The sequence below is a fragment of the Homo sapiens genome, chromosome 6 (assembly GCF_000001405.40).
Source record: "Homo sapiens chromosome 6, GRCh38.p14 Primary Assembly".
NCBI classification, from domain to species: domain Eukaryota; kingdom Metazoa; phylum Chordata; class Mammalia; order Primates; family Hominidae; genus Homo; species Homo sapiens.
In genome coordinates this window covers 127,902,594-127,922,219 of record NC_000006.12, presented here as the reverse complement: position 1 = coordinate 127,922,219, position 19,626 = coordinate 127,902,594, and the positions used below count along the sequence as shown (strand labels likewise).

The 19,626-nt window shown below is 36.3% G+C and overlaps 1 protein-coding gene and 1 pseudogene across 6 annotated transcripts in view; one reads left to right on the top strand and one right to left on the bottom strand.

Annotated features, from left to right (window-relative positions):
* Positions 3,625-19,626, top strand: part of THEMIS (thymocyte selection associated) — a 221,968-nt gene continuing 205,966 nt past the window's right edge. For all 6 annotated transcript variants that reach the window (XM_047418766.1, NM_001164687.2, NM_001394520.1 and 3 more), the window contains exon 1: positions 3,625-3,792. The gene's annotated coding sequence lies outside the window, so the exon portion shown is untranslated. The remainder of the gene's footprint in view (positions 3,793-19,626) is intronic.
* On the bottom strand, positions 12,204-12,389 carry MRPS17P5 (mitochondrial ribosomal protein S17 pseudogene 5; annotated as a pseudogene).

Below are 19,626 nucleotides of genomic sequence, written 5' to 3'. Positions count from 1 at the left end.
CTAGCTGTGGGTTTTATAAGTTGCAGTCAGACGGCGACGGAAGCTGGAACAGAGGGCTGCACCTCTCCGTGGCTCTTCATGTAGTCTTAGTGTTTCTCCATTGGTTTCCTTGTGTGCTTTAGTCTGGGCTTTCTTGCAGCATGGTGGCTGCAGGGCAGTTGAACTGCTGCAATTGCAGTTCAGAGATCCAGTGTGGGAGTTCAAGCAAGTGAGAAAGAGGATGAATTAATTGCTTGTAATCATTGAGCCTCAGAAGTTGTCCAGCATCATATCTGCTACATTTGATTGGTGTCAAGTGTGTCATAAGTCTACATAGATTCAAGGAGAGGAAAATTATATTTCATCCCTTGATGGAGAAGGGAAAGGGCAGAAAGGGACAATTTCATTTGGTATATCTGTGATTAGCACAGGAAGTCTTTGTTGGCCAGCTGCGGTGGCTCATGCCTGTAATCCCGGCACTTGGGAGGCTGAGGTGGGTGGATTACCTGAGGTCAGGAGTTTGAGACCAGCCTGGTCAACATGTCAAAACCCTGTCTCTACTAAAAATACAAAAATTAGCTGGGTGTGTTGGCAAGTGCCTGTAATCTCAGCTACTCAGGAGGCTGAGGCAGGAGAGTTGCCTGAACCTGGGAGGCAGAGGTTGCAGTGAGCCGAGATCGCGCCACTGCCCTTCAGCCTGGGCAATAGAGCAAGACTCCATCTCAAAAAAAAAAAGAAAAAGTCTTTGTTAGCATGCAAAGATACAGAGGTGGTGGACCTGCTGAAAAAGGCAGCTCAGGGTCCTCTGAGAAGACGACCTCTCGGCTGCCTGGGAATACACATTAGAGATAATTTCTGTAGTAAAATACACATAGCATAAAATTTCCCATTTAAATGCACAATTCAGTGGTATTTTACATTCACAATGTTGTCCAACCACCACCACTCTCCAACAGATAATTATTTTTGGGGGAGGACAGGGTTCAGGAAAAGCTGAACCACGTTCAACCACAGAAAGAAACCACAGCTCCCGAAGAGAAACTGGAATAAGATGGGGAAATGATTTGGGACTGGGGGCCTGCCCTTAGTGCAGGGTTGGGGAGGACTTGTTCTGGCCATTATGCATTGCTAAGGAACCCTGCCCTTAGCAGCCACAATGGCACAATGACGCCAGGCCATCTCTGTGCAGTGGGAAAGCATTGATTGCTGGGATCAGGACCAATTTTTCACAGTGACGCTTTGCAGCAGAGGCCAAAGCAATGAAGATCATGGGCTGTTTAAATTTCTCAGTTCTCTTTTAGTACGAAGGTTGGCTTTCCTATGCTTAAGTAAACAGTTTTTTTGCTGAGAGTAAATCATGTGAAACAAAATGGTCTTCTTTCTAATCAGGTGATAATCAGTTGAAAAAATAAAGTGAATATGACCATATTTTCTCTAATGTTTTATAACTAATCATACTGGATGCTTGTAGTTAGGAATGAGTATACTGATCTTCAAAAAATAGAGAAATTTGACTTTGAATTTACCTTTCGATTTAACATATTCTGAATAACTGTGTTACTGGGATGGGGTTATTATATTTCTGACTCCCAGTAACTCAGACATTAGAAGAGATAAGGAAAGTGACAAACCTGTTTTTATTCTAGTATTATAATTCTTCGCTGTCACGAAAGCCAGGCTGTTTTGCTTCCTTTCTGTAAGAAATTGTCAGTTGATAGGCAAAACTTCAAGAATAATTAAAGAAATAGGATAGGTACATTCCCTTGGGAAAATCAATCTTCTGTAAATGTATTCAAATGAATTCAGTATCCTTTCCTTTTAATAGTGCTTATCTAGGTGAAAACATTTATTTTAGATTTTGTTATGGCACCCAGAAAACTATGATGCCTCTTTAAAAATAAATTATAGGGTAAAAGTCACAGAGGAGGATGATTGAAAAGAAAAAGTCTCAGGAACATTCCCTGTGTGTCTCCCTCTGTCTTCTGTGCACTCAAAGCATGGCAAATCAATCTCAGAACACTTCCTGTTACCTGAGACTCTCTTGAAGTGTCTTCGTAAATGTTTAATGCATCCCTATCTCTTATTCAGTATGCCAGGAGGAGAGAGATTTGTTTTTGGCAGGGGTTGGCTTTGGTAAATGCCACAGGTTAATTCACAGGTTCTGTTGCATCTGTGTAAATTGGGAAGATTTGACAGCTGCGCCCAAAATACTGGCCATTCTCTTTGGGAAGCCAGACTTTGACACTTGGTTTAAGGCAAAATGAATGTCAATTTGTCGTTTACCTCACCTCCTCCACAAAAACACTAAAAGATTGTTTTTATCAATATAAAGATCCCTGCTTTGAGAATCCTCGAAGCCATAGTGTATGTGTTTTGAACTGGAGATGGGATGGCAGAGTTGTTTAGAGGACTAACATGAGACTAGAGATACTGATAGCTACTACCCTGCAAAGGTTTACCATGGACTGGTGCACTATGGATGTATGCTATCTCATTTAACTCTCACAGCATTCATAAGCACTTGTAAATTGTTCATTCATAAATTGTATCTCCCGTGGGGAACATACAATTACTATCTTTTTTTTTAAAGATGAGAAAGCCAAGACTTGGAGAGTTTATTAGTATTATTTTATTCTTTGTAAAAACAGCTTTATTGAGACATAATTCATGTATCACAAAATTCATCCATCTAAAATGTATAATCAATGATTCTTCTTATGTTCACAGAGCTGTGCAAGCATCACCACAATCAATTTGAGAATATTTTCATCACAGGAAAAAGAAACACCATAACCATTAGTAGTGATCCCTCCCTCCCCAACTATCCTCTTCTCCCTATCCCATCCCACACACTCACCCCAGATTAACGTTTTTAGATTCCACATATAAATGAGATCATGGGGTATTTGTTTTTCTGTGCCTGGCTTATTTCTGTTAGCACAATGTTCTGACTTGGAGAGTTTAAATGACTTGCTGAGGGTCTGCCTAGTGAGGTGCAGAGCTGGGACTATATGGCTTCATCGTCTAGGACTCTACCTACTACAACATATCATGTTGTAAAACAAGCAGACAGGAGGGAAAATGGAATTAGTGAGTTTTTGTGCAGCTACTCATCAACCTCATTTAGTACCTATTTATTTAGAGCAATTTACCATTTAGTAAAACATGGAAGGAGTTAGATTTGCATAGCTGATTTTATATAGTTGCCCTCAAGGTGGAGAGTAAAGGAAAGTAGCAGTTGCTCAACACTAAAGTCAAAAGGTTTGGATTTCACTTTCAGCTCTATTACAAACTAGCTGAGTGAATGTGGGGGAGCTACTTAGGCTCTTTCATGACATACAGAGAAAACAAAAAAAGAAAGATGGAGACAGCACACTTCAAGTTCCAGAAGGCTTTCAATTTGTGGTTCCAGTTTTTACCTGATCCACAACAGCATGCTTGCCTTTAAACAATTCTGAACTCTTGTAATAATTTTAATCTTTAGGTTAAATAACTGGAATTGGTTGCTGTTATTTCCAGCTAGCATTGCAGGAAATACTGAATCTGGTACAACATGGGTTTAACCACATCAAAATTTAGAAGCCCCACCCACTTTGTAGACACAACAGGTTCACAGATAAAGTGTTCTGCAGACTCAAGGTTTATACTTACAATTACGAGATTTATATTTGCATTAGTCTCTTTGGCTGGTGGGTAGGGGTGAGAGGCTCTTCCTGGATCCCTTATTTTCTACAGGAGAGGAGGAAAACACCTGGGATGCTCCAGTGCTCTTACGCAGATAATGATCATTAACATCAGCCTCTCTGATCAAAGGTACAGCTCTTTGTGGGATAATATCTCTTGCATAAGATTTTATGGGCCAGGGCTATCTCTAATTATTTATATACTCTCAGGGTTTTCTTGCTTTAAATGGTCAGTTATAAAGACTTAGCCTAGAAGAAAATTTCTCTGAAAAATATTAGTTACCAGCAGGGTCAAGTTGATAATCCTTAAATTATCTTTCTTTAGGATTAGAATGCTAATTGCAGGCACGCATTATGCCTGGGTTTGTTTATTTTTAATGTTGCAAGTCTGTGCCTTGGAGCCTTCAGTGTTTAGTTATTAATGGGCCACTCTCTATGCTGGGATTAGGACCTATCCAAGAATATAGCTAAAGAAGAATGACTTCCAAATTTACTCTAATTGTACATGATTCTTAAAAATCAATACTTATCCTTGCAATGAGGACTTTTACTACAGTGTATTGATTAGGGCTCTCTCAGATAAGAGTGAAATAAGCTGACATATGCAAATGTAAGTAGAAAGGATAAATTTATTAGAAACCTATTATATCTCATGGAATCCAAGGAAATGCTGAACCACTAGACTCTTAGAATGAGGAAGTCAGGGAAAGTAACAGCTTCCTCGGAAGCAGGAATTTGTGGCTAGTTCTTCAGAAGTTTTATCTTTAATGACACAATTTCTGATTTCCAGTATATCTTTTAGTTCAAATTCTAAATTTCTGGGGAAGAGAATGTGATTGGCCCTGCTTGTTTCAGGTGTTGGTCTCTCTTCAACTAACCATGGTCTTGAAAGTGATCAGATGATATAACTGTGGCTGAAAGGGACATCCCTGCTGATTACTCCAAGAGAAGGAGAATTCTCATGACTAGGAGCTGGGCAGATAGATTAAAAGTACCTAAAACAATGGTCATCAAGAGGAACTTTGACACAAGGAAGCACTTCTCACTGCTGATTTTGGAGTTAATGTGAAAGGCTAGGTTCAGTAATCACACATTCCAGATTCTACTGCCCCGGTTCCTGTCCTGTTTTCAGCATCCTATCAATTCTGTATATCTTATTCATCCAATAAATTCCCCACATTTCTTTAATTATTGTTGATTTATGTAGCTTGCAACCAAAGGATCCTAATTGATATAGAAGTTGTTACTAGAAGCATCTATTGCCTGCCTACCGACCCAAAATGTAACTGGGGGACTGACTCCATTCTGCTCTCCTTGACTTCCACCTACATCTCAGGTTGTGTTGAGGACCAACCCATTTTGTAATCTTTCTGCTATAGTTTGTGAGACTCGGGAAGATCTTAGCAACTGAATAATCCAGTACTTTGTCAAGCTTAGTTTTCTGTGGAAATACAACTCTTAAAAGCTTTTTTGGTTTGTTTTTCTCCATTCCCTTTTTCTAGACCCTATAGACTAAATTTTAACATCAATGCTTTTGCAAAAGCAAACTCTTTGATTCTAGTCCTAATCTTGAAGTTTCTGATGCTTGTCAGTGGACTTGAGCCTAAGTGTACTGTCCATTAACATAATAGCTTCTATTGTGATTTTGCCATTACTTTTAGTGTGTTTTTAAAACTACAACAACTTTTGCACCAGCCTAATAGCTTGTCCTCTGACTCAAAGCAATCGGAAATAATTCCCTGGTAGTACATTATTTGAGGTCCTTGGCTGTGAGCAACAGAAACCGACTCTGGCTTAAGCAAAAAGGAAATTTATTTTATGGATATTAGAGAGTTCACTGGCTCTGCCAGAATATGGAGGTATGAGATTTAGAATCTAACAGCACAGCAAGCAGTAATTCACTATTTTGTCTGAGCATTGTCAGCCACTGAAATGAATAAATTCTATCCATTTTATTTTTCTTACTCTCTTTGTCTTACTGTACCCATTTAAGTTTCCCACAGAAAGGATACAGTTCTAGCTTTGATCATGCCCCTCTTAAACCAGGCAGAAGGACCTCTGTGTCAACCATTGCAGTGAACAGAGGTTGGGATAGGAAGGCACCATTAATCATCTTCACCTTATCCCAGGCAGAATTCCAGTTGCCTCTCTGCCATGACAGGAGGAACCACAAACAAAAATTGGGGTTTGATGGAGGACAGTGGTGGGGACTGGGTGGGCAGTGACTTTTTATTGTAATATAGCTATAATTGTTTTCAATAAAAGTATTTTATTATAAATATATATGTGCATATATACATATACATACATATCTATATAATTATTTCTAACTCATTCCCTAGGTTTATTTTTTTCATAGATATATTTAATTATAATATAAAAAAATTAAACTTTTTCTAACTCCTTCTCTAGGTCTCGTAATATAAAATCATATTTTTAATTAAACAAATATAGGGTTAATTTTGTAACTTTGGGCAGACTTGCATTGCCCAAAAAATAGAAAGTTCTGACACCTAGTTTTAGGGGGAAAAAACAAATTTGCTCATTCTTTTTTCTTTTATTATTAGTTTTGAGACGGAGTGGTGCTCTGTCACCAAGGCTGGATTGTGGTGGCACAATCTCGGCTCACTGCAACCTCTGCCTCCTGAGTTCAAACGATTCTCCTGCCTCAGCCTCCCGAGTAGCTGGGATTACAGGCGTGTGCCACCACGCCTGACTAATTTTTGTATTTTTAGTAGAGACGGGGTTTCGTCATGTTGGGCAGGCTGGTCTCGAACTTCTGACCTCTGGTGATCCACCCACCTTGGCCTCCCAAAGTGCTGGGATTACAGGCGTGAGCCACCACACCCAGCTGCTCATTCTTTTTTCTCATGTGCTTCTACCCGAGAAGTTTCTTTTCTGGCACAATTGGTATTAAAGGTTTATGTGTAGCTCAAGTTCTCTCTCTCTCTCTCTCTCTCTCTCTCTCTCTTTCTCTCTGACCCTCTCTCTCCCCACCCCTAGCCCCCTCCTGCCCCAAGCAGAGTACAGAGCCCATCATCTTTATTTGCCCTGCCTTTACTTAGTAAGTATGACCAAATCAGGGCCGAATAGCAATAGGCCCGAACAAGGCCTGTGAAATCTGTGAATGTTCCTAAGTGTAGAATCTGGAAATTCAACTCTTTCAGCTGTCAATACCAAGCCACAAACTTAGGGGACAGTGGTTGGAAGCTCCAATTTTAGCCCATAATTACATATATGGTCTTTAGCGCATGATTATATGTATGTTCTTTAGCCTAGTTGTACCAAAACAAACAAACAAACAACAACAAAATGATACTATACTGTCATCATTTTGCTTCTATGTCTGTTTTCAATTTTGTTTTTTTTCCAAAGGGGAAGTATGATAAACCTCCTTCCACACCCCAGTAAAAGCTTCAAAAGTGTTTTCTGTGGTTCTTCTAAAAGTAAATTTCCTAAAAATAGGACAAAAATGGATCCATCAATGACGAACTGTTACAATGGGACCTCAATCTGTGTAAGATTAAAATTATATAAACTTGATTCTAAAAATGGTTCAATATCAATAAGTAGCAGCTTTTCAGATTCACTAGTAATGTGTAAAATCAGGTCAAAGTGTGTTTCTGGTCAATTACTGTTGTGATAACCATAGCAGGCACACATAAAATATTTTACTTGGCACTTTATCTGTAATATTACTTTGTTTCAAACAAAATAGAACTTTATGAAGATTATATAGTTACCTCCTGGCTCTACTGTAGAAAAGCATGTAACTTTACTGTAAAGTGGGAACAAAGGCGGCAAATGTCATTTACATACATTTGAAAGTTCCTTTCATTCCTTATATTAATGTTTGGTCAACGATGGACTACATATGTGATGGTAGTCCCTTAAGATTATAATACCATGTTTACACTGTGCCTTTTTCTATGTTTAGATATGTCTAGACACAAAAACACCACTGTGTTACAGTTGCCTACATCATTCAGACAGTAACATGCTATACAGGCTTGTAGCCTAGGAGCAATAGGCTATACCTGATGGCCTAGGTGTGCAGTAAAAGTACACACCTAGGTTTGTGTAAGCACACTCTATGATTAACGCAACAATGAAATTGCCTGAGGATGCATTTCTCAGAACATATCTCATTGTTAAGTGACACATGACTATGTTTCATAATGAAATCGTCCCTTAGGAATTTACAAAGTGGCAAGAAAAAGAAAAACTATGTTTTTCTTAGTATCTTCACAGACATGCGTTTCCAGGAGAGCAATACAGGTTGAGCATTTCTGATCTGCAAATCCAAAAATCCAAAATGCTCCAAAATCTGAAACTTTTTGAGCACCAACATGACAACACAGTGGAAAATTACAAGTCTAGCCTCATGTTGAAGTCAAAACTCATTCAAAACTTTGTTTCATGCACAAAATTATTAAAAATATTGTATAAAATTACATTCAGGTTATGTGTATAAGGTGTCTACAAAACATAAATAAACTTTGTATTTAAACTTGGGCCCCATCCCCAAGATATTTCATTATGTATATGGAAATATTCCAAAATCTTAAAAGAATCTGAATCATTTTTTGTCCCAAGCATATCAGATAAATTCTCAACCTGTATAAGACTTGGCCTCCACCATTTTATGTGCTGTTTGCTAAGGAGTTTAGGAGCAATATTTTCTCCCAATTAAGTTCTAGCAAGCACACAGTCCTTGATCATCATTTCCAATCAATACTGGTATTCTAAAATAGAGTACTTGTGATTGAATTCTAATGCATGAGCTGTAAAATGTTATACAAGAGAAAAATATTCAGCTTATTTATGAAGTTCATATTTACTTCAAATACAGATTAAATAATGCTTTGGTGATTAAAAGCCTGAATTTACAGTTTACTTCAACGGAGAAATCTCTCAGTGAGACAAACACTCTAACATTGGCCTGTGTCCAGGTCTGGTCATGATTCTATTCTGTCATCTTGGGGAGGAGAAGGTAAGAATGTAGGTAGAATTTAACCTGGTTCAGGTTCAGATTATTCAATTAAATACAACAAATATGTCAAGTCCATTCATTTGTTTTTTTTGAAAACATTTCTTAGCATAGTGCTGGTGAAGGTATTTGGAGCTATTGAGTGCATCCAATCAAAGTAGACCCAAATCTCCTTTCCCTAAATGTAGAATTCAGGAACAAAGGAAAAAGCATGCAAATGGACACATAAAAAATATTCAGCGAATGGAAACTGAAAAGGAAGAGAGAATTGTGAAAATAATATAAAGATTAGAAAAGGCTTCATAGAGGTAAAGGAACTAGAACTTAAGTGATGAGTATAAGAGACTTTTTTTTTCCATCCAGTATCTATTTCCTCTTTTATGAGGGATTACTTGATGCTCTGCTCTATGTCCAGGCATTTCATGTCCAATGTCGTAATGGTCCTGTGACCTAATCTGGCCAGCAGAGCATTACGTTCACTTGGCCACTGATGTCATTCAGGCATGGAAAAATATCCTAGTCAGACCCCTGAGAAAAGTAATTCATAACAATCTTTTCTCACTGCATTAGGGATACAGATCTGGAAGAGCAAGTCATCCACTTTGCTTAGACGAGAAGATTCATGGTAGAAGCATTGGAATTCAGGCTAAGATCTGGAGGTTTTAACTTCAACATGAAAGCAGTTGGACTTTGTAAGGCAAAACAAACAACATTTGGCCTACAGGCACTATTATAAAATACAAACAGGTATACAAAATTTGTCATATTTTCAGGAAGATTATAGATTTTCCTCTTACATTTGCTTAACACCTTTAAACTTTTTTCAGTTGTGTATTATGTGTATTAATAATTTAAGTTAGGCCATAGAAGTAGGTCATATTCCAGATTAAGAGGTTTGAGAATTCTCAAAGACAGGTTTGGGTTTCTCATGGCACTTCTCAGACCAATTCTGGTTACAAGTCATCCCTGGGTCTAAAATAATATGGAAGCTTGGAAATAACAAGGTAACTTACACAGATCTTCAATTATCTCAGCCTACATATGTGACTCAGAACTTGAGTAAGATGCAGATTGACTTCCAAATTTCTTCCCAAAGTTAACTCAGCCTGCTCCCAGGAATGAACAAGGACAGCTTGGAGGTTAGAAGCAAGATGGAGTTAGTCAAATCTCTTTCACTGTCTCAGTTACAATTTTGCAATAGCAGTTTCGGCCTCATCTGAAACAAGGCAAGTTCCCTCCACTTATGAGCCTGTAAAATCAAAGGCAATTTAGTTACTTCCTAGGTACTATGGGGGTAGAAACATTGAGTAAACACACCTATTTTAAATGGGAGAAATTGGCCAAAACAAAGGGGTTACAGGTCTCATGCAAGTCTAAAATCCAATAGGGCAGTCATTAAACCTTAAAGTTCCAAAATGATTTCCTTTGACACCATGTCTCACATCCAGATCATGCTGATGCAAGAGGTGGGTTCCTGTAGCCTTGGGTAGTTCTGCCCCATGACTTTGCAGGGTACTTCCCATCTTCTGGCTGCTTTCACCAGCTGCAAACCCATAACCCAAGGTGAACCATGAGAAAAACATCAGACAAACTGAAATTGAGGCACATTCTACACAATATCTGTGGCTTTTCTAGGTGTGTGTTGCAAGCTGTTGGTGGATCTACCATTCTGGGGTCTGAAGGACAATGGCCCCCTTCTTATAGCTCCACTAGGCAGTGTCCCAGTGGGGACTCTGTGTGGGGGCTCCCTCCCTTCTGCACTGCCCTAGCAAAGTTCTCCATAAGGCTTCTGCCTCCACGGTAAACTTCTGCCTGGACATCCTGGCATTTCCATACATCCTTTGAAATGTAGGCAGAGGTTCCCAAACCCCACAACTGGAGTGGAAGGATAGAAATAAGCCAAGGAGGAAGGCTAGAATGAACCATGTAGTATTGGATTAGAGTAGGCAATATCAGTATGAACTTACGTTTACATTCTTATGTAAATACAGATGAATACATGTAGAAATATTTATATGTGTGTGTATACAGTGATCAAAGCTGAAACAATTTGAGCACAAAATAAGTTTTAAAAGCAGTATCAGATTATAACTTAAAGTATAAAATATATATCCATGGATAGGTATAAAATATTCATGGATATATATAATATATATATCCATAAACCCATGCTGATATAAATAAACTCATGATTAAATAAATAAATAAATAAATAAATGAAGGAGAAGACAGAAATATCTCCTTTAAAATTCTCCAAATTATTTACGTAGATATTCCTCCCTCAAGGAGCTACAGTGTAAGTTCCTCCCCTTTAAGTGTAGGCTACACTTAATGACTTGTTTTCATGGAGAACAGTGTGAAAAGAGGGGAAAGGTAACAATACTGTGGAGAAACTTGGCAAACACTACCTTAGTCAGATAAAGTTAACATTATCAGTGATAGATTATGTTGATAGTCTATAATTTTGATATGACAGAATGAGAACTAATTTACCTCTGTGGTCTTCCTCCCCAAACCCATAACCCAAGGTGAACCATGAGAAAAACATCAGACAGACTGAAATTGAGGCACATTCTACAAAATGCCTAACCAGTATCCCTCAAATTGTCAAGGTCATCAGAAACAAGGAATGTCTGAGAAACTACCACAGCTCCCAGGAGCCTAGGGAGACATAATGGCCAAAGGCAATGGGGTATCCTGAATGGGATCCTAAAAAGGAAAAATGACGTTAGCAAAATCTAATAAAATTTTAGTGAAGTATGAAGTTTAGCTAATAATAATAATATCTCAATATTGGCTTCTACATTGTGACAAATGCACCATCATAATGTAAAGTGTTAAAATAAAGGAAACAGGTGTTTGTATGGGTATACAGGAAATCTCTGTACTATCTCTGCAACTTTTCTATGATTCTATAACCTATTCTCAAATAATTATTTTAAAAAATTATGGTTGCTGTATTTTATAAACTCCATTTCAAATGTACAGTCATCTAATTATCTTCCCTAAGGCATGGTGATAGTAGAAACAGATTCTCCATTTCCTGGCTCTATTCAGAGAGCTTTATTCTGGAAATAACGTTGTGGGAATGGATAAAAATATTCAATTACTTTTGAATACTTGCTATCAGAAAACAATACTTACGTAATGAGATTGTAACTGTTTATAGCAAGAATTTTCTTCCCTAATAACAAATTCTTAAAGATAAATATGTAATTCCTAAGAATGAAATAAATACATCTTCTAAGACAATGAGCTTACAAAATGATGAGGCTTGTTGCAATGCTCTCAGAGTTTAATTGGAAAAAAGAGACACTGAGAAGGTAGTCTGAACTATGACTGTAATTCTTTATAAAAAAACATCATCTATAACAAGCCTTTTACTTAGTCTTAGCTAGTTTATATATTTAAAAAGGAAATTAGATGCACTAGAAAATAATGAAAGCTAAAGCTATTATTTTTCTATAAAGTGAATCTATAAATCTCTTCTGTTGCTACCTTTTCAATCCCTTTGAGATTTTTTTTTACTGAGAGTTTCTCAAGAGATTAAATTTTGTGGGTAAGTGTAATAGTTCCTGCCCAGGTTTTTCTGTTACTGGATCTATGACTTTTCCAACTTTGAAAATTATCTCAGGCAAATTGTGTATCATTATCTTAGTTTGTAAAATAGGAGTACTTTTGAGAAACAAAATGTCCTCAACCATGTATTGCTGATGTATCAAGTGAACAAAGTAGGTTCTTCAGGTTTTTAAAACACTGTGGAAATAAGAATCCTGACCAACCTGCACCCATCACCATTCTCCTTTGTGTGTGTATAGTTGTTGTTTTATGTTTATGTGTTTGTTTTTGTTGCCATCTCTATTACTTTTCCCAGTAATTCATTTGACTGGGACTGTTAAATATACTGTTAATATTACAAAGCTTTGGTTACCAAGTGTATTAGTCTGTTCTCATGCTGCTATAAGGATACCCAGGACTAGCTAATTTATAAAGGAAAGAGGTTTAATTGATTCACAGTTCCACAGGGCTGGGGAAGCCTCAGGAAACTTACAATCATGGTGGAAGGCAAAGCAAACATGTCCTTCTTCACATGGCAGTATGAAGGAGAATGAGTGCCAAGTGAAGGGGGAAGCTCCTTATAAAACCATCAGATCTCGTGAGAACTCACTCACTATCATGAGAACAGGATGATGAAACTGCCCCCATGATTCAACTGTCTCTACCTGGTCCCACTCTTGACATGTGGGTATTATTACAATTCAAGGTGAGTCTTAGGTGGGGACACAGAATCAAACCATATCACCGAGTAACTTCCCCGACTCAGTCTAGTGGCACCAGGTGAAAAAAAGTTATTTGTAACTCACAGTTTCATGTATACATTTGTCAGGTTAAGCAAATGGTCTGTTGCCCAATAAACTAACTTGGGTTAAATAAATACATATCCTAAGTTGAATTTACTAAACTAGATAATTTGTATTTAATGCATATTTTAATATTTTATTTTTGTAATATATATACTTAATATATTATTTAATTTTTAGGTCTGAAATCTAAAAGGAAAGTTGATTTTTTGTAAGCAATTGGCAACTTATCAGTGCTTAATTTGTAATAGATAACTATTTTAAATGTTTTAAGCTCTACTTTTAATAATACAGGACTGAATTGTTTCTGTGAGGCTCTAAAATGTTAGCACATCAAAACGCAAATGGCATCTTTGAGTTTCTCTCAGTTATAAGAGATAACAAATGTGAAAAAAAAAGAGAAAAGAGAAAAGAGCTGTTAAAGTGGGCATACCCTTTCTACAGACATATTGCAGTTAAGCTTTTCACAAATGCTATATAAAAGTCAGAGGAAAATGTTAGAGTTACATCACAGGACCTCCACCATTTAAAGGGAAGAACTGGAAAATCTCTTATGAATATAAGGGCTTCATTTTTTATTTCATGGTTCTGAGGAAAGGTTGAGTCCTACAGCAAGGGAAAATGTCAGGGCATAATTCATACGGTAACACCAACATTCACATTGCACTTTGCAAGACATTTCAACCTGTGCTCCTGTTCTGTGGCACCGAGCAGTAGGCAGAACTGCGTGTAAAAAAATACGCAGATCGACTCAGTTGAGTCAAGTCTCCTCATGGTGAGCAGGCTCATCTACTTGACTGCTTTTTACCCTTTAAGATTAATCTGAGGAACACTCTTCCTGGGGAGACCCCTTCCTAATTCTTGAAGTTCCTGAACTGTATACATTGGATTGTGATTCTTAACTTGTGGGCATGGTCAGCTAAAATGTAATGTCTCTAAGGGCTTATATTCTCAGTGCCTTGTATAATGACAAGCATAGAGGAAGAGTTCAGTGGTTTGCTGAAAGGACAATTAAACATTAATTTAGAAAAAAGGATGATCAAAAAAGAAACTTACATGGGAAGAAACATGAATCCTACATTGAGTTTTATTCAAAAGGAAACTAAAAGTGCCGGGAGGCAGGAGCTTCTTTGAAAACCAGGTGGTGATGAATGAACACATTCATAGGCGGTTGCATTTTGCATGTTGCATTTTGACAAAACAAATTGTTGTGTATAGTAGGATTTTATTTTCTTTCAAGGTTATTAAAATAATTCATATTCATTCTTATAAATTAAGAATGAAACCCCGTCTTTACTAAAAATATAAAAAATTAGCTGGGTGCTGCAACAGAGCAAGATTCCATCTCAAAAAAATAAAATAAAATAAAATAAAAAGAAGAATGTACATATGGTTGGAGACAGAAGAGAATGGTGATCAAGGTATTTCAAATGGAAGCCATTTATGGCACTGGGAACATTTTTGGTGGGTGTACTATGATTTTGTTTATCACATACCCATTCCTTCTCTTTTGGGTAATTAGCTCACTTATTTCCCTTTGATATATCTCCTCTTCCAACACTTTTTGTGATTTAGCTGAGACAACTGCCTAATAAAATCCAAAGTAGAGCCCGTGAACCTGAAATTATGGGAAATTAGCATATTTCATTTTCTAGTCATAATGATTGGCTGAGACATATACATGTGAGCCAAGTTTGATCAATCACAGTTTATCCTGGGACTTTTCCAGGTATAACTAGGAGAAGGTAGTCTCTTCCATTGCACTTGAATCTATGAGATACAAATCTTGAGCTGCCAGGTGTCACACAACAGCAGGATATCCCTGAAATGTCGCTCATGCAAAAAAAAAAAAAAAAAAAAAAAAAAAAATCCGAGCCTAATGCCCTAATGGTATTGTATGATTCCCCAGAGCAAGCTTATTTTGTAGGTAGAAATGCTGTAAACCTTTCAATGACGAACCAATAAATGGCACCTTTTGGTTAATCCAAAATCACAGGAGTGATTCCTATAAGCCTAATTTTTTCTTCTTTAGAAATAACCAATGAAAAGAAAGTTTCAGAGAATGAATGATTTAGATACCAGTCAGAATAATCTCTAAGATTTCTTCGTTTTTGTTTTTTTCCGATACTATCTACTTGGAGATAAGGGTTTATTCTTTACTCAAAGAAATATTACATTGCACTGAAATATTATAATATAGTTTTAAGCCTCTACTGCTGAAGCTTATTTCTCTGCTTGTGAATTTTTTTTTTTGTTTTTTAACATTCAGACAGTTCTACTTACTTTTTAGGAAAGCAGCTATAGAGAATCTAACAAACGAATTGGTATTTTACGTAAAGTTTGCTTTGAGCCATTTTTCTTTTCTTTTTCTTTTCAACAATACTTCTCTTGGGATAGAAATCATTGGCAATAATGATACTAACTATAATTTAATCATCATTTCATAGCCAAGTCCTTCTCTGTTCTTTAGCAGAAATTTTAAAAAGATGTGTTAAGTAGTAGCAAGACTGGTGTGAGGACAATATTTTTTTTCCAACAGGAACTTCCCTGTTTGAATTATTAGGGTAATGTGAAATGCATTTTCTTTTCTTTTCTCCTCCTTTTTTTGGTCATTAAAGTAATAAATGCTTCAGTTGATGGTATAAATAAATCTTTGTGTGTATCTGATTATATCTAAATGTGAAATTGCTACATCAAATTGATTTCAAGATAGATCACAACAGTTTGTAATATAGATGAGTGACTAAACATTGCACCATTAACAGTATGAATTTTATGAAATAAATATTTGCTTTTTCTGTCAGGTTGGTTTTTACTCTGATTCCATTCATTTGGTCAATTTTGCTTTAGATATTTTGAAGGTATATTATTGAAAGCTGTGAATTTTCTTTAAGAATTGGTCACCCTTTCATTATTAAACAAATAACCTTATTATCTTTTATAATCCTTCTTGTCTTTAAATCTAATTGATGTAATATTGATGTAGTTTCATGAGCTTTCTTTTGCTTAATGTCTTATGGTATTTATTTTCCCATTTTTTCATCTTTAGACTTTCTATAAACTTATAACTAAATTGTATATTTTTAAGTAGATTTATGTGTTTAAATGTTATCTGCCAACATTAGTTTATTACTTGAACTATTAAACTATTTAATTTTTATTTGTAAAAATTATTTCATTTAAATTATTTAATTTAAATTACATTTAAATTATTTCATTTAATTACATTTAAATTATTTCATTTAAATGTAATTATTTCATTTAAATTATTTTAAGAGTATAATTGAGTTTATGTATACCATCATAATGTTTGCTAGCAATTTTGAGGTTCTTTTTCTTTTCTTTCTCGTCTTTTTTGGATTAATTAATTTTATCATTCATTTACCATTTTTAGTGGCTTTCCTAGAAATTACATGTGTTTTTATTTATTTAACTCTGATATTAAACATCACTTTTGCAACTTCTCTAGAAGGCTAATGCTTTAGAACATTTTAACTTCATTATCAGTTTTGCTTTTGCATTACTGCTATATTTTACAATATATTGCATGAACTATATATAGTGCAGATATATTCAAAACTCCACAAGCCATTAATTATTGTTTTGGGAACTCAATATATTCAGTTCACTGACATATTCACCCTCTTCATTCCTTCCTGTGGTCTTGACTTTCTGTCTGAGATCATTTTACTTTCGCCTGCAGAACACCCTTTATAGTATTTCTTTTAGTGAGAGTTTACTGGTGATGAATTTTCTTAGTTTTTGTTTGTCTGAAAATGTCTTTATTTTGCTGTTGCTTTCATGCGTCTCTGGATTTAGAATATCAAGTTGGTAGTTGGTTTCTTTCAGCATTTTAATGATGGTATTCCATTGTGTTCTACCCTTATTGGTTTTTGTTAGTAAGTCAGCTATCATCTTATTGGTGATCCTTTGAAAGTGACAATTTCTTTTCTTCAGAGTGCATTTAAGATATTCTCTTTGACTTTGGCTTTTTAACGTTTTAGTATGATGTTCCTTAGTGTGCCTTCTTTTGCATTTATCCTCCTTGGTGGTGTTGGCAAGGCTTGAATCTATGGATTGATGCCTTTTTCAACTTTGGAAAATCTTCAGCTATTATCTCTTAAAATATTTCTTCTCCCACTATTATTTCTCCTCTCACGTTGGGACTCAGTTTACATATAAGATCTTTCCACTATGGCTGAAATATCTCTCTGCAGAGACACAGAGATAGATAGATAGAGAGAGAGAGAGTGAGAGAGAAAGAGAGAGAGCAGATATTTCCTACGCTCCCATTTCCAGTTCAACAATCCTCTCTTACTGTATGTCCCATTTGCTGTTAAAACCAATTATTGAATTTTTAATTTCAGTTACTGTATTTTTTAACTCTAGAATTTTCATCCGATACTTTCTATAGATGGCAGTTCTTTTCTCCTTCTTGTCTTCTAGTTTTGAACATGTTTATCAAAATTATCTTAAATTGCAGGACTAATAATTCCAATATCGGAATTACCCCATGAGTTTGTTTCTGTGGTCTCCCTTCTCTCTGTCTTTCTCTGTCCTGTCTTCTGGCATTCCCATTCATTTCATACTTAATTATAGATGTTGTATTTTTAAATATTACAGAAGTTCTGGCTGCTTTTCCTCAACAGGAGGATTTACATTTGCTTCTATCTGGCAGCAAGAATAGGGGCAGACCACTTTAATCCAATGAGGGATTGAGCTAATTTTAGTCTAAGCTTCAGTTTTTGTAAAGCTAGTTCTATTTATAGGCAACCCTTTCTCTTAGGAAGCAGCCTTCAGGAGCCCCAACTGAGAACACAGGCATTTGTTGTGACTCCTGCTCCCTCCTTGGCTGGCCCTGGCTTCCCAGTTCTGCAAGACTGCTGAAAGCACTCCTTGGCTTCTTCAGCTTCCTACCAACCATGCTCTTGTTTGTGTCTCATACAATCAACCCTGTACTGCTTTCAATGAGCAAAAAAATTTTAAGGGGAAAAAGTGGTGCTGAGCAATACCTTTCTCTGACTTTTCCTGGAGGAATTGCTACTTCCCAAAGTCCAATTTATTTTGGTCTCTTTTGCTATGTGAAACTGCCAAAAACTCAACTCAGGTTCTCTCCTCCTGAGCCACCAGTTTTTGCCTTCTCAGACTCTCTCTTGGTGCCAGTTACTAACCCATAAAAGCCTTGAGGGAAAAGAAGTGCAGAATATGGAGTTCCTCTAATGGTTCTGCTCTGCTTTACAGGATCTTGGCCTCTCATGTTCTGCACCCTGACAGCTCTCTTGTTTCTTAAAACAGCTTTTTTAAAAAGTATACAGCTCTTCTAGGTGCCTTTGGTAGAAAACGTGGTCAGATACAAGCTCATAGCCAGAAATAGAAGTCTTTGAATATTTTTATTTTGCATATTGACTAACAAGTGGCCTTTACCCACCTAAGCCATTGTTTATTTGAAGGATGTGCTTTTTTTTTTTTCTATTTTGTTCAAACTCCTTTTTGATTTACAGGAGTATTTCATAAGTTAGTTGTCAAATATATTATTAGTTTTTTCCTTCAATTACTACTCAGAAATAGTTATTTTCTTACCCTTTTCCAGACATTTTCCTATTTTTCCCCTCTGGTTTATTTTTATTTAAATTTAATTTTAAAATGTATCTAACTTTAATTTCATTGCATGGAAAGTTAGGGAAATTTTCTCCCCAATTATTTAACAACCATTTGTTGAATAAAACATTCTTTCCCACTGCCTTGGAATTTCACCTTTTTCAAATAGTAAATTATTATATACAGTCTAGTTTTTTTTTTAAAATTCTCGTTAATCTATTATTACACCTATAACATGCTGTTCTAATGACCAAACTTCAATAATTCATTTTACTTGATGATTCAAGTACTCTTGAACTCATTGCTCTTCTTTGTCAACCTTAACTTGGCTGCTCACATCAGGATTTTTTTGCCTGTGTGTCAGAAGTGATTACGATCTGGTCTAAAGCAGTAGCAGTGGGGATATAGAGCAAAGACAGAGTGAGTGGTACTGAGTATTGCCATCTATAGGGCCTGATGGATTTAACGGCTAGAGAAAAAAAATGGCATCTCACATGATTCTAAGCCTTCCGGCTTGGGAAACTAAGAGAATAGCAGTGTCATTAATTAAGACTGAGAATACGAAGATGATTATCACAGAGAGAGCGTCATCTGTCGCGAGAGCAGAAGCAGATGGAGCCTAGGTAATTGTAAGAGATTGGTGATACGAAATGGCTGTTTGGCTAGTAGGATAGAAATTTGACTTGGGAATATTAAAAAAATAAGTGATATCCAGCTTGCATTAGATATCAAATGAAATGTATTGTGGCATCAGTTCTAACGGATTCATAATTTTTAAGGAGCAGTCCACAGAAGCCTCTTTCATGTATTCATCCACATGAAATACACTACTAGGCTGTAAACTGTGGGGAGGGGTATGGAAGGCAGACAGATCAAGGGTAGGACATTTTTGGACAAAAAAGTTGCCAGTGAGGAATTTGAATCTAATGATAGTAAACCTGTTGATGTGGTCAATCGTAAATTCTACTTTTATAAAGAAAGAAATGAAGCTGGACTGATTATTGAAAATGTCAAA